Source organism: Homo sapiens, chromosome 18 (assembly GCF_000001405.40).
Source record: "Homo sapiens chromosome 18, GRCh38.p14 Primary Assembly".
Classification (NCBI taxonomy): Eukaryota; Metazoa; Chordata; class Mammalia; order Primates; family Hominidae; genus Homo; species Homo sapiens.
The window spans coordinates 3,120,529-3,136,791 of record NC_000018.10 but is presented as its reverse complement, the minus strand read 5'-3'; the positions used below and the strand labels follow the sequence as shown (position 1 = coordinate 3,136,791).

At 39.8% G+C, this 16,263-nt stretch overlaps 1 protein-coding gene across 7 annotated transcripts in view; it reads left to right on the top strand.

The window, feature by feature from the left end:
* The window catches only part of MYOM1 (myomesin 1), a 180,570-nt gene that overhangs the window by 110,585 nt on the left and 53,722 nt on the right, over positions 1 to 16,263 (top strand). For 3 of the 7 annotated variants that reach the window (XM_047437910.1, XM_047437909.1, NM_003803.4), the window contains 5 exons: positions 1,062 to 1,245; positions 1,968 to 2,142; positions 5,296 to 5,417; positions 7,273 to 7,560; positions 9,895 to 10,091. In XM_047437910.1, coding sequence (XP_047293866.1) covers positions 1,062 to 1,245; positions 1,968 to 2,142; positions 5,296 to 5,417; positions 7,273 to 7,560; positions 9,895 to 10,091 — 966 coding nt within the window. The remainder of the gene's footprint in view (positions 1 to 1,061; positions 1,246 to 1,967; positions 2,143 to 5,295; positions 5,418 to 7,272; positions 7,561 to 9,894; positions 10,092 to 16,263) is intronic. The other 4 variants (XM_047437911.1, NM_019856.2, XR_935071.3 and 1 more) reach the window with 3 other exon arrangements.

Here is a 16,263-nt window from a genome sequence, read left to right as displayed (position 1 = left end):
GAAGAAGAATAAAGCAGGCTAAGAAACAGAGAGTGATAAGAAAAGGACCAAGAATTCTTTTAAATAGGTAATGGGCAGGCCAGGTGCAGTGGCTCATGCCTGTGGGAGGCTGAAGTGGGTGAATCGCTTGAGCCCAGGAGTTCGAGACCAGCCTAGGCAACATGGGGAAACCTTGTCTCTACCAAAAAAATACAAAAATTAGCCAGGTGTGGTGGCATGTGCCTGTAGTCCCAACTACTTGGGAGGCTGAGGTGGGAGGATCACTTGAACCCAAAGAAGTCAAGGCTGCAGTGAGCCGTGATTGTGCCACTGTACTCCAGCCCAGGTGACAGGGTAAGACCCTGTCTCAAAAATAAAATAAAATAAAATTTAATTTAATTTAATTAAAATTAGAAAATTACCTGACCCCAAACGATCCTCAAAATAAGACTTTTGTAAGCAGATTATTGTATTTAGTTAACAAAGGAAGAGAAATATTAAAGTAGCATATTTTTCAAACAATACAACGCTGTATTAGTCCATTTTCATGTTGTTGATCGACATACCAGAGACTGGGTAATTTATAAAGAAAAAGAGGTTTAATGGACTCACAGTTCCATGTGGCTGGGGAGGCCTCACAATCATGGTGGAAGGCGAAAGGCACGTCTTACACGGTGGCAGGCAAGACAGAAGGAGAGCCAAGTGAAAGAGGTTTCTCCTTATAAAACCATCAGCTCTCATGAGACTTACTCACTACCACGAGAACAGTATGGGGGAAACCGCCCCCATGATTCAATTATCTCCCACCAGGTCCCTCCCACACACATGGGAATTATGGGAGCTACAATTGTAGATGAGATTTGGGCAGGGACACAGCCAAACCGTATCAAAAGCCAAGTTTGATTTAGAGAATCCTACGAACTTCAGATGCCTCATCCCCTATTTCCTCCTCATCTCTCCTCCAGTCCAGCTTGCATTACAGGGAGTGGTTTGTTGCAGATGAATGAAACTTGGAGTTGCCTGGCCTGGATTCTCGCTTGTGTTTGCTGTGCTTTCAATGGGTTTCCCTGTTCTTGCTGCAGTGTGAGGCAGGAACAGAAAACTGGCAGCGAGTGAACACGGAGCTCCCTGTGAAGTCTCCCCGCTTTGCTCTGTTTGACTTGGCCGAGGGGAAATCCTACTGTTTCCGTGTCCGCTGTTCTAATTCTGCAGGAGTTGGTGAGCCCTCAGAGGCAACGGAGGTGACTGTGGTAGGGGACAAACTTGGTAAGCAACTGTAAACTTCTTTTACTTCAAGAGAAAATTTCAAAGCAAGGATCTAGTATATGTATATTTGGCCAGGAGTAAAAATGGTGACATCCTTCTTTCATATTATAAATTTACTCGATGGCTGTACTTAACCTATACATTAAACAAAAATTCATTATTTTTGTTTATGAAAAGTAAACTTCTTTGGGAGTTTCAACAATATTGATAATGTGTTTTTTCTGAAGTTCATGGACATTTAGTTTATCCATGCTCCCTAACTGTTTTAAAATTTTTTGCTTTAAAAAATACAATGTAGGCCAGGCGCGGTGGCTCATGTCTGTAATCTGAGCACTTTGGGAGGCCGAGGCAGGCAGATCACCTGAGTCCAAGAGTTTGAGACCAGCCTGGCCAACATGGTGAAACCCCATCTCTACTGAAAACACAAAAATTAGCCAGGCGTTGTGGCACATGCCTGGTAATTCCAGCTACTCAGGAGGCTGAGGTGGGAAAATTGCCTGAACCCAGGAGGTGGGGGCTGCAGTGAGCCGAGATCCCGCCACTGCTCTCCAGCCTGGGTGACAGAGCGAGACTCAGTCTCAAAAAAAAAAATCGTAAAATAAAGCAGCTGTTCTTTTGACATGACGAAGTGTGTAAAATACCTAGGTGTGTGTTTGTGCATAGATGATAAGGATGAATTTTTAAAACCACTTGAGTTTGATCACCATTTTCCTCTTTCTCAGATATCCCCAAGGCTCCTGGCAAAATCATCCCAAGCAGAAACACAGACACCTCAGTGGTAGTTTCGTGGGAGGAGTCCAAAGATGCCAAAGAGCTGGTCGGGTACTACATAGAGGCGAGCGTTGCTGGCTCTGGCAAGTGGGAGCCCTGTAACAACAACCCCGTGAAGGGCTCACGGTAACTCAGTCGGGTGTGCAGGGCGGGCAATGGCCTCTGGAGCTGCCATAGACACATACGGCACACAGACATCCAATGGAGGAGATTTTTTTAAAAAATTTTACTTTTTGGCTGGATGTGGTGGCTTACACCTGTAATCCTAGCACTTTCGGAGGCTGAGGTGGGAAGATTGCTTGAAGCCAGGATTTCAAGACCAACCTGGCCAACACAGTGAGACCCTATCTTTACAAACTGAAAAAAAAAACAAGAAAACATTATACTTTAAATAAGCCAAGGCAGTGGCAGGCCTGTAGTCCTAGCTACTCAGGAGGCTGAGGAGGGAGGATCCCTTGAGCTTGAGTTCAACTTGAGTTCAACTACAGCTTGAGTTTGAAGTTGTAGGATACAATGACCAGGCCTGTAAATAGCCACTGCCAGCCTGGACAGCATAGGGAGACCCCATCTCTAAAAAACAAAACAGAACAAGGCTGGGTGTGGTGGCTCATGCCTGTAATCTCAACACTTTGGGAGGCCAAGGTGGGCGGATTGCTTGAGCCCAGGAGTTTGAGACCTGCTTGAGCCCAGGAGTTTGAGACCAGCCTGGGCAACCTGGCGAAAACCTGCCTCTACAAAAAATACAAAAATCAGCCCAGCATGGTGGTGTGCTGTAGTCCCAGCTACTCAAGAGGTTGAAGTGGGAGAATTCCTTGAGCCTGGGAGATCAAGGCTGCAGTGAGCTATGATCACAACACTGTACTCTGGCCTGGGCAACAGAGCAAGACCCTGTCTCAAAAAACAAACAAGCAAAACAAAACAATTACACTTTAGATATTTAAATGAATTTAAAATTGAACACATTAGATGCAATACATCTTTTTTTAAAAGGTTCACTTATGATGTTAAACACTTAGCAACACATAATGCCAACTATTGTAAGAGTTCATTTCATAGTGCTTTTGCTGCTTCTTCCTTTTTTACCCCTCTGATTTTATATCTAATATGCAACGTGATATTAGATTCTGAGGATATAATACACTCTACTTAACATAAATTACCCAGGAATTTTAAATGAAGAGAAAAAAGTATCGAAATTTTACAAATTCTGGACATCAACATGATTAAACCCAGTGCTAAGCAGACATAGTTACACCAAAACAAAGACATTCAGAATAATTTGCTGCCTCTTTGTATTTGTTTCTAATGGGGAGAGGGTTGGTTTCTTCCTTGCTTTCAACTATTTTATCAATCAGCTTTGCACATTGATGGTGAATTCTGATCTGCACCCAGACCAGAGACCAGTATGAGAGGGGGATGCTGCCCTCCCAGAAATTGTCAAATAGACTCGTTCGGCAGCTTCTGGCTTGGATCACTTCTCAGTCCGAGGACCCCAACAGAATGAGTTGGTTTTGCGGAACGTGAGAGAGTAGAGATAAATGATTAATTAGGGAAGGCAATATGTTTTGCAAGAGATTCATTTAGCCTGTTGGTGTATTTCATTTTTCCTTGGAGTTACCCAGCATTTTCCTGGGACTATTCAGAAATGCTGGTGGTGCGTAGGCAGGAGCTGCTAGAGGGCAGGCACCATTTTTTGTTCATCTTTTGTCCACAGTACCTAACTCAGTGTCTGGAACACCGAGACCCCAATAAATCTTTGCTGAAGCAAAGCTGACTCTAAGGACTGAAGGGCTGGCCTAGATTATGGCTCCTTTGTTAAATACTTGAACATGCGAATAGTCATAGATTCGTTAGCAGACCTGTTATTTCCTCTGGCTGCAGTCCTTAGGATGGATTCAAATGTTACAGTGATTCATGAAACAGCTATTTATAGCCATAATAGCTATGAAAAGAGTTAGGTTGTTTTTATGGATGAAACTTCCCATGGATTCACACCTCATTATTGAATCTTCATATCTAAATGGTAATTCTAGAATCCATTGTTCACCTTATCTTCAGATTCTATAGTAATTTCCCAAGTAAGTACCTTCCTTGGCATGCAGCGAGACAGTGACTAGGCCTCTATGACAAGGAGCCACCAATGCCTTACAGCCATAGTTATATACCTAAAATAGTCATTGATCATATTATTAATTGGGTATTAGGCTTAATACCTGGGTGATGAAATAATCCGTCAACAAACCCCTGTGACACGAGTTTACCAATATAACAAACCTTCCCATGTATCCCTGAGCCTAAAATAAAAGTTAAAAAATATATATGAGTTGGCTGGGCTTGGTGGCTCTTGCCTGTAATCCCAGAACTTTGGGAGGCCGAGGTGGGTGGATCACGAGGTCGGAGTTCAAGACCAGCCTGGCCAAGATGGTGAAACTCCATCTCTAGTAAAAATACAAAAAAATTAGCCAGGCGTGGTGGTGGGTGCCTGTAGTCCCAGCTACTCAGGAGGCTGAGGCAGAGAATTGCTTGAACCTGGGAGTTGGAGGTTGCAGTGAGCTGAGATTGCACTACTGCACTCCAGCCTGGGCAACAGAGCGAGACTCCGTCTCAAAATATATATATATATATTTTAGAGTATAACTCATATATATATATATATACACACACATATATAATAATAATTTTAGAGTATAACTCATATATATTATTATATATGTATATATTATTATTATATATACATATATATAATAATATTAATACTAATAATTTTAATACTAATTATTATTTATTAAGTACCTCATATATGCCAGGCCCTATATAGGTACTTTATATACTTTATAACTAACCTCTACATGAAAATTATCATGTAAGCATCATTATCCCTATTTTACTGGTGAGCATTTGGGGAAGACCAGGGCTCCTCATTTTTTGACAGAGTGGGTTTAGAAAAGTGCCTTAGTTACCTTCTTGTCTAAAGTATATATATTACCTGAATCTTTCTACATCTTTTTCTTCCTTTAAAAAATGAATTATTAGCTGGGCATGCTGCTTACAACTGTAATCCCAGCACTTTAGGAGGCTGAGGTGGGAGAGAGGATGGCTCGAGGCCAGGAGTTCAAGACTAGCCTGGGAAACACAGCAAGACCCCATTTCTGTTCAAAATAAATCACAATAAAAAAAAAAGAATTGTTTTCATAAAGCCAGATCCACTCCATTAAGCTAACAATCATCTTCCTTAATCTTCCTCCTAGGAAAATTTTTTAAAACTTGTTTTCCTTTTAGATTCACTTGTCATGGATTAGTGACTGGTCAGAGTTATATTTTCCGGGTCAGAGCAGTCAATGCAGCTGGACTTAGTGAATATTCCCAGGATTCAGAAGCTATTGAAGTCAAAGCTGCTATTGGTAAGTTCCTTATGCATAACTGTATGGGGGAAAAATGGATTTTTCTATGTTAGAAAGGAAGATACCATCCTCTCCAGAAATTATTTAGCTTCCAATATTGCTGGATGATTGCATCCTTAGATGATCATTTTCTCTGACTCTAGGTGATGTCTAACCTTCCATAGCTGCCATTTTACAGACCTTCATCACTTATCCAGATTCTGTGCATCCATAGCCTTTTCATCTTCACGAACCCAAGTTTCCTCAGATATTTCACATTGTGTGAAACTCCATTCTAACTTCATGCTCATCCTGGGACTGTGAAGGGCCATTCCGATTCCATGAAGTGGTATATCACCCATAACACAGATCATCTTGTCCCTAAAAGCCATTTGGTCTATGCCAGAGCCTGGCTTGTTTTTGCTAACAGAACATTAACATGCTTCTTATAAACCCCTCTAAAATTCATGCAAGGCACATGTAATTGCTTAATCATATGTTTCATCTTTGCTTGCAAAGTAACCAACAGAATAAAACCAGTAATAAAGTAATTATATGTGTGTATGTGATGTACCTCCCAATCTTGGATAAAGTAGAAAAGGGACCCAGGTGGTTAGAAACAATACAAATAATATTTGTGGGCTGAGCACGGGGGCTTACACCTGTAATCCCAGCACTTTGGGAGGGAGAGGCAGGCAGATTGCTTGAGTCCAGGAGTTTGAGACCAACTTGGGCAACATAGTGAAATCCCATTTCTAAAAATAACAATAAAAAAAATTAGCCAGGCATGGTGGTGCATGTCTGTAGTCCCAGCTATTCAGAAGGCTGAGGCACGTGGATCACTTGAGTCCAAGAGTTCAAGGCTGCAGTGAACTATGATCTCACCACTGCACTCCACCCTGGACAACAAAGCAAGATCCTGTGTCTGAAATAAATAAATAAATAAAATAAAATTTATTATATAGTAACGCATGTTTTTTAAAAAGCTGATTTAATATTGATTGTCTTCAGTTAGCATCTCATATAGCTTTTTCATATTCCTTATAACATAGGGATCGGGCACAGTGGCTCACGCCTGTAATCCCAGCACTTTGGGAGGCTAAGGCGGGTGGATCACTTGAGGTCAGGAGTTTGAGATCAACCTGGCCTACATGGCTAAACCCTGTCTCTACTGAAAATACAAAAATTAGCCGGGTATGGTGGTGCATGCCTATAATCCCAGCTACTTAGGAGGCTGAGGCACGAGAATTGTTTGAACCCAGAAGGTGGAGGTTGCAGTGAGCCGAGATTGCGCCAGTGCACTCCAGCCTGGGGGACAGAGTGAGACTCCAAAAAAAAAAAAAAGAAGAAAGAAAACGAAGGAAGGAAGATTCCTTATAATGTGAACCATTCTAAACATGTCTCTTTGAGGTTGAGAGGTACAGACCATTACTATTGTAGTACTGCACATAATTCGAGGTGTTATAAAATTAGGATCTTTAATATGATGTCTCTTGTGCACTTTATAGTCCTTTTTTCATTCTGTTGAATAATAGGGCTTACATCTCTCAATATTTGTGTCTAAGATTTGCTTTTCCTTATATATACTAAAAGCCCTTTGGGTTCTGCAAATCGAAATGGTTCCTATTCTATCTTTGGCTTCTTTGTTCTCATTTCTTCTTTTTCCAGAATACGGGGAAGGTGAAATGTTCCTTGGCGTATATTGTGTGAAATGTAGTCTTTCCATATTTCTTGCAAATGTGAGCGATTTTCTTTAAGCCAAGACTGTTTTTGTTCTGCTTGTGGTCCTAATGTTTTTCTCTTTGTTCTATCCTATAAGAGCAGCTGATACTCTGTCCGGGCTCAATGCGTTTCTGTTGTTGTCTGGCAACTGTAGGGGGAGGAGTGTCTCCAGATGTGTGTCCCGCACTGAGCGATGAGCCTGGTGGACTAACCGCCTCCAGGGGGCGCGTGCATGAAGCCTCCCCGCCAACCTTCCAGAAAGATGCTTTGCTTGGCAGCAAACCTAACAAACCTTCACTACCCAGTAGCTCTCAAAACCTGGGCCAAACAGAAGTGAGTAAAGTAAGTGAAACAGTTCAGGAAGAGCTTACCCCGCCACCACAGAAAGCGGCTCCTCAGGGGAAAAGTAAGTCTGACCCCCTGAAAAAGAAGACAGACAGAGGTGAGAGTTGAGAAAGGGAAGCTGTTCCATCCGTCTCCATCACTGTCCTCACCTCTCATCGTCTACATCACATCCTTCATCCATGTTTGCTTTCATCAATGTCCATTCTTATTGTATGTGTTTTCAGCTAGCCATCTGAAATGTGTACTTTCATCTGATGACTTGGAAAAGTAATTGTCTATGGGTTTGGCTTGTACACATCATTTTGGGTGCTTAATGATGCTAGAATGTTTCAAGTAATTTGGTTATAGAGCCTTTCTTGGTTTGTCAGGCAGATACACCTCTGGCCTGATTTTGCTAAGAGAATTCGATGTGAGAGCAGGACTTGGTACTGCTAGCCTGTGTGAGGTCCTTTGAAATAGTCATGTTTGGAACATGTAGAGGAGAAAGATCTCACAAAGAAGGTGACATCGTACCAGGGTCATAGTTGTTACCTTCTTGCTCATCCTCAGATTATTAAGCGATTATTCACATTTAATTTAAATAGTTTGCAAGAAAAATCAACACTGGAAAATTAAATACTTTAAGTGAAAAAAGTATATAAAAAGATTAAAAATTTCTAAAATAATAATAATCTAAATAGCTACTTACCTACTACTTTTTGAAATGAAAAAAGAAAAGAAAAAAACAGCTATAAATATATCTTTGAGTTACCATGAAAAGTTTAAAAGTTAAAATTATAATCACATATAGCTATATTGTATGATATATGATCCTCATTCCCAGAAGTGATTTATTTAAGATGATTTATCAGTAGGCTAAGAATGATCTGATTAGGATATTTGGTACCTGTGGCTAATATATCCTAGGAGACATTGTTTTTCCTATCAAACAACAATGAACTGAAGCACATGTGCTGATAAATTTTTAAATGCCTCTCATCCAGTTCTTTTTTCTAACCCCACCCCAACTTCTATAACCTCCTCTGTTTTATGACACCTTTCTTTGTCCCTCAACTCGAGAGGAGATATTCATTTGAGAGCACATATTCAACAATGCTCTGAAATAGAGGGAGAGAGAGAAAGCTTTTTTAAAATGTGAGGAATAAAGGAGGTTGGTAAGTGGAGAAGAGATAAATGTATTTTATTTTAAAAGCCTTCATTCTTCTGATACTCTTTTTGGGTAAGAATGAGATAGTTTCTTTATCTCCTATAATCCAAATAAACATTCAGAAAATTCTCTTCGATGTTATTGCATATCTAGATGTATTTCTTTCCACCACTTCACCCCCTCTCTTCATTGAAAACTGTAATTTCAGTAGTTGAGTGAAAAGCTGATCAGCAAAGCCACATAAATGAAGGAGGACTTTTGAAATATCCTCCAGATATTTTTCTAGCTAAGCACTGATAAACATGGTGACAGCTGTATAGTATTGTACCACATGAAAAATATTCCAACATCAGATTAAAAATAATGTGATAAAAGTATTATACACTAAGAGAAAGTCACATAGCAGATTGTGTCTGTTTTTTAAAAATGTTTTCTAAAGCTGTCATTTAGCTGAGCTCTAGAGTAAATTTTTTTCTTGTGTGCAGACAGAGTTGTGTAGTTGTAAGGTCTCACAAGGGTAAGTGTGCCTGAATGGTGAAAGGCTAACCATTTGAGAAATATATGGAAATTCTGGGCCAGGTGTGGTGATTCACACCTGTAATCCCAGCACTTTGGGAGGCTGAGGTGGGTGGATCACCTAAGGTCAGGAGTTCGAGACCAGCCTAGCCAACATGGTGAAACCCTGTCTCTCCTAATAATACAAAAATTAGCCGGGCATGGTGGTGCACACCTATAATCCCAACTACTTGGGAGGCTGAGGCAGGAGAATTGCTTGAACCCAGAAGACGGAAGTTGCATTGAGCCAAGATGGTGCCATTGCACTCAAGCCTGGGTGACAAGAGCAAAACCCCAGCTCAAAAAAAAAAAAAAAAAAAATATATATATATATATATATATATGGAAATTCTGAATAAGCAAATTGCAGCAGAAATTGATATACACATTCCATTTTCATCAGGGAACAAATGAAAACTAAACCACATAAAGAAACAAAAATTATACCTTGGGAAAAATATTTCTTCTTATGGGGAAAAGAATCATTTTCTTTCAGGGTATTGTACCATTTTGCTAGGACAGGTTCATTTTATCTTTGGAATAATAATTGTAGTGTACTTTTTACTGTGTCCATTGCATTCACCAAGTTCAATGCCAAGTTCATCAGCCTCGAATTTTAGTTTTATACTGCAAGATCTAGTGCCCTCATATGTGGCACCCATGGAAATGTTTATATATAGAATCATAAATGCATTTCTGCCTACTCACAAGCTATTCATATTGCTACAGCACCACCATCTCCACCCTGTGATATCACCTGTCTTGAAAGTTTTCGTGACTCAATGGTTCTTGGATGGAAGCAACCAGATAAGATTGGAGGGGCAGAAATTACTGGCTATTATGTGAACTATCGCGAGGTCATTGATGGGGTACCAGGAAAATGGAGAGAAGCCAATGTCAAGGCTGTCAGTGAGGAGGCATACAAGGTAAGCACGTGACTTTCTGTAGTGTGGCGTGTCCTATGTATGACGCTATGCTTGCACGCCCAGGCAGGCACACACCCAGCACCTTGTAAGAGAGTCACGTCATTTCTCCAGAGTCCATTGTCTGCAGTGGCATGAGTCTTGTGAAAAATATACTGTGGTGAATACAAGTAGTTTGGCTAACCAGGCAGGATTTATATTTTCTGATCCATACACATAAGCATAATAAATTCCTAGAATATTTACTATGAAATGTGCGCTTACTGTACAAACTAATTTTTTTTTCAAAACTTACAAAATATCTACAATTAATATGCCACTAGCCTCAAGAGTCCCAGGATCCTTCTGCAGCCCTCAAGTTGAGGGGGAAAAAAAAAAAAGATTCCCAGGATTTAATGACACTCTGGATTTTTAACTTTCTTTTTTTTTTTTTTTTTTTGAGATGAAGTCTTGCTCTGTCCCCCAGGCTGGAATGCAGGAGTGTGATCTCAACTCACTGCAAACTCCACCTCCCAGGTTAAAGTGATTCTCCTGCCTCAGCCTCCTGAGTAGCTGGGATTGCAAGTGAAAGCCACCATGCTCAGCTAAATTTTCTATTTTTAGTAGAGGGTTTCACCATGTTGGCCAGGCTGGTCTCAAACTCCTGGCCTCAAGTGATCCGCTCACCTCAGCCTCCCAAAGTGCTGGGATTATAGGCATGAGCCACCGCGGCCGGCTGGGTTTTTAACTTTCAGTGTCCAAATTACAGCGGATGAAGGGACATGGGCTTGATGGCTAGACTCAGCTCACCAGCTGTGAAGTGGTGCTTGTTATAGTCGCTTGATGGCCACAAAGGGTGGCCTCACATGTGTTCTCCTCTACATGGGGGCCTCCACTGCTCAGGTCACATAAGAGAACCAGAACAGTCTCACTGTTGCCTTAGCTGATGACTTTCTTCTCTAGAGCTTCATCAGCTACATCCAAGCTACCACCTCTTAACACTCACAGAATCCTCTGCCATGAGGGTTCAGAGCAGGGTGAGGCCAGGGATGACAGCTGCCCCAACTCAACACCATGCTCTTTTAATTTAACATTTGAAATTTATGAAATATCACACACATGCTGAGAATGCGTAAAACAAAGTTGCTTTTTTTTTTTTTTTGAGATGGAGTTTCGCTCCTGGCCTCAAGTGATCTGCCCACCTCAGCCTCCCAAAGTGCTGGGATTACAAGCGTGAGCCACTGCGCCTATACAAAATTGTATTTTTAAGATTCTTCCCTGTTAGTGCATGTGGCTATAACTCATTCTTTTTCATTGCTATATGGTATGGTATTCCATTATGTGGTCATATCACAATATATTCTTTCATTCAATTCTTATTGCTATTTGGGTATTTTTGCATTTTTAGCTACATCAAGCAAAGTAGCTATGAACAATTTTGTATACATCTATCTGCTGCTACATATGTGCACCAGTTTCTCTGGGTGATCACCTAAATGTAGAATGGCTGGGTCAGGGGGTCTGTTTATCTTCCACTTTACTAGATAATTCCATACTGTCTTCTGAAGAGTGTGTGAGAATTCCCATCACTCTGCATCCTTGCCAACACTTGGTCTATTCACACATTTTCAGCTTTGACAATCTGAGTGTCAAATGAGTTTGAACATCCTTTCCTATGTACACAGTCCATTTTGATATCCTCTTTTATGCCTGTTCAAGGTTTTTGCCCATTTTTCTAATGCATTCTTGTTGACTTGCAAAGTTCTTTACATGTTATGAGTAGAAATCCTTTGCAGGTCTGTAAGTCGCATACATCTTCTCTGACTTTAATTTTAATGTCAAATTCATTGTAGTCATATTTACTAACATATGCTTTGTCCTTAGTGATTTTTGTGCCTTTGTGGTGAAATGCCTTCTCTATTCCAAGATCATGGAGGTACTGTAGTTGATTACATTCTAAAAGCTATACTATTTTGCCACTTACATTTCTGTCATTAATTCACCTTTATATTTTTATATGCTGTGAGTTAAGCATCAAAATTAACCCCCCCCCACAGAGACATAGTTGTCCCAGCATTATCTATTGAAAAGTTTGGGGCCGGGCGCGGTGGCTCACGCCTGTAATCCCAGCACTTTGGGAGGCCGAGGCAGGTGGATCATGAGGTCAGGAGATCGAGACTATCCTGGCTAACACGGTGAAACCCTGTCTCTACTAAAAATACAAAAAAATTAGCCGGGCGTGGTGGCGGGCACTCAGCTCCTCGGGAGTCCCAGGAGTGGTGGAGTCCCAGCTCCTCAGGAGGCTGAGGCAGGAGAATGGCGTGAACCTGGGAGGCGGAGCTTGCAGTGAGCCAAGATCGCACGCCACTGCACTCCAGCCTGGGCGACAGAGTGAGACTCCATCTCAAAAAAAAAAAAAAAGAAAAAAGAAAAGTTTGTCGTCTGCCTGCTATTCTGCAGGGGTATCTGTATCATATATCGTTTCCTTATATGCGTGAGTCTGTGTTCGTGCTTCCCATGCTGTTCCACTGGTCTGTTTGTGTAACAGTGGGTGACTACCACACTGATTTAAATATTATAGCTTTATAGGCCGGGCATGGTGGCTCGCACCTGTAGTCTCAGCACTTTGGGAGGCCGAGGTGGGGGGATCACTTGAGGCCAGGAGTTTGAGACCAGCCTGGCCAACATGGTGAAACCCTGTCTCTACTAAAAATACAAAAATTAGCCAGGAGTGGTGGCTCTCATGTGTAATCCCAGCTACTTTTATACCTTTTACTCAGGAGGCTGAGGCATGAGAATCACTTGAACCCGGGAGGTGGAGGTTGCAGTGAGCTGAGATCACACCACTGCACTCCAGGCTTGGTGACAGAGCGAGATCCTGTCTCAAAAAAAATAAATAAATAAAAATAAATTATAGCTTTATAGTAAAGTTGATGACTGATAGATCAGCTTCTCCTGGTTTATTCTTTTTCCAGAGCTACTCTTAGCCCTTTGCACTTGATATAAATTTAAGTATTAGGGTCCCAAGTTCTACCAAAAAAAAAAAAATAGTAATAATAATAAGTAAGACAAAACAAAAGAAAACAACAATAAAAAAACTTACATTCAACCCAACTAAACCCATTAGAATTCTGATTGAGGATGCATTGAATCTGTAAAAAAATTAAGGAATAATTGACATTTAAAAAATATTGAACCTTCTAATCCATGAACATGTTATTTTTCTTCATTCGTTTTGGTCTTTTTAAAGCCTCTTATTAAAGTTTTACGATTCTCTACAGAGGTTTGTATATCATTTGTTATTTATTAATAGAGACGATATATTTTCAGTATATTTTTATATCAGTTTTTATTGCTAGTAAAGAGAAATATAACTTTTATATATTGATTTCACATATAATTATTATATGTAGTCTTTTGTTAAATTTTTTAAATAATTTGAATGTTACCTTGAAGTTCTTTTGGAGTCTATGTATATTCATATCATCTGCAAATAGTGGCAATTTACTTCATTTCCAAATTTTATAACTTTTACTTCATTTTCTTACCTTACTTTCTGCATAGTGACTTTAGCACTATATTGAATAAAAGTGGTGGTGCTGGGGGCATGGTGGCTCACACCTGTAATCCCAGCACTTTGGGAGCCTGAGGCGGTGGATTGCTTCAACCCGGGAGTTCAAGACCAGCCTGGGCAACACAGCACGACACCGTCTCAGATTTTCTTCTTTTTTTTTAAAGTGGTGATGTTGGTCATTCTAGGCTTGATAGTTATCTTAAAGGGAAATTTTACAACATTTCACCATTAAATACTGTATTGTGTGTTACAGGTGTTTTGTAGACATCTATTATCGGTTAAAGGAAGTTTCCTTCTATTCCCCGTTTGCCAACAGTTAATTAAAATTATCAAAAACATTTTTGGGGTCTATTGAGAAGATTATATGATTTTTTTCCCTTTTATTATAATTTGGTATATTCTAGTAATTGTCTAATGTTAAAACTACCTTGCATTCCTGGAATAAATTCAACTTGGATACTATATATACTCTGTTTATATCACCTGGATTTTGTTTGCCAATTATCGTTTAGGATTTTTGCTTCTATGTTCATGAGTGAGATTATTCTGAGACTAGAATTAATTTAATACTAATATCTGACAAGGATAGTACAGGAAGGAAAAAAATGCAGGATAGTCTCCCTTTATTAAGATATAATTCACACATCATAAAGTTCACTCATTTAAAATGTTGCCTTATGAATTTTGAAGTGATATTTTTAAATGGATACAAAGTGACTCTTTACCATTATGAATACATTTTACCTTAAAGTCTATATTGCCTGTTATTACCATAGATACACTAGGGTTTTGGGGTGGGGTGACTTTTGCATGGTATGTAGCTTTTCATCCTTTAACTTTCTATCTTTCTGAAACTTTCTGCTTTACATGTGTCTCTTAAAAATAGCACGGAGTTAAATTTTGTGTTTTTCCTCCCTGACAGTCTTTGTCATTTGTTTGCTATTACTGATTACTTAAAAAAAAAAAAAAACTAATATCTTATTTTGTACTTTCTATTTGTCCTTTCTGTTCTGTGTTTCTTTCTCTTTTTTTGAGACAAAGTCTCACTCTGTCCCTGAGGCTGGAGTACAGTGGCATGATCTTGACTCACTGCAACCTCCGCCTCCTGGGTTCAAACAATTCCCGTGCCTCAGCCTCCCAAGTAGCTGGAATTACAGGCATGTGCCACCACGCCTGGCTAATTTTTGTATTTTTAGAAGAAACAGGGTTTCACCATGTTGGCCAGGCTGGTCTCAAACTCCTGACCTCAAGTGATCCGCCCGCCTCGGCCTCCCAAAGTGCTGGGATTACAGGCGTCAGACACCACACCTGGCCTGTTCTGTGTTTCATTTTCTGTCCTTTTTTGACTATTTTTGAATCGTTTTTAAAAGTTGTTCAATTTTTCCTTCTATTCTACCTTAAAAGTTATAGATTCCGAGTTTCTTTCGTTTTGGTGACTGTGCAACTTAAAGTCTGAAGTTATTTCATTTGTTTTACTCTTGTCTCAGAAACAGAAGGGCCTTAAAAACTTTACCCCTTTACCTTTTTCCCAACTTGTATGCTATTGTGTATGTATGTGTCTGTGTTTTAATTCTTTTTAAAATCCAAACAGCAATGTGATTATTGTTTTATAGATTCAACTTACCAATATATTTACCATTTTATTTGCTTTTAATTAAGTGCTTTGAAGATGTAATTGCACCATCTTCTGGCCCATTGTTGCCGCTGACATTCAACTCTTGGTCTGCTTGCTTGTTTGAGGGTAATTTGCCTTTTTTCTTGGACAGCTTTTGATATGTTCACTTTATCTTTGGTGTGCTATACTTAAAATACTATAGGTCTAGATGTGGGTTTTTAAAAAAGATGTATCTACCCGGGATTTTAGGGGGCAGAGGATTTTTCATCTGTGGGTTGGATTTTTCAGAAGATCTTTCTAGAAAATTCTGTATCTCCTAAAATATTGTTTCTCCCTCATTTTCTCTCTCTCTGCACTTCTCCCAAAACTAATTAAACATATGTTTGATGTTCTCATTCTATCTTCCATGTCTATTAATCAACTTTTCTCTCTTTCCCATTTTTGAGTCTTTCCACATCATGTTCTGTGTAATTTCTTCTGACTTTCTGTCAGTTTACAAACTCTCTCTTCTTTTGCATCTGATACTCTGTTGAAAATGTCTGTTATTTTTTTCTTACTGTATTTTCCATCTCTTGTCGGTCACATTTTACATATTTTATAGTTTGCTGCTTCCTACAAATGTTTTTCACACTAATATATTCCATCACTTCTATTTTGCAAATGTTTTAACATTTATTATTTTGTCATGTATATTTACCCTCACAACAACCCAGTTCCTACTGAGTGATACGGAAAATATTAGGTCACTCAGTAAAGAGCAGAAACATTATGAGAACTTGAGCATTTTGATTCCTAGCTTAGAACTCGTTTAAATTTCACCTGTACATGCCCTAGCTTTCTATTGCTACATAGCAAATTACCACAGACTCGGTGGCTGAAAACAATGCACATTTGTTGTATCACGGTGTCCTTGAGTCAGGGGTCTGCGCACGGCGTTGCAGGGTCGTCTGTTCAGGATCTCACAGGGCTGCAATCCGGTTATCAGCTGGGCCACATTCATGTTGAGT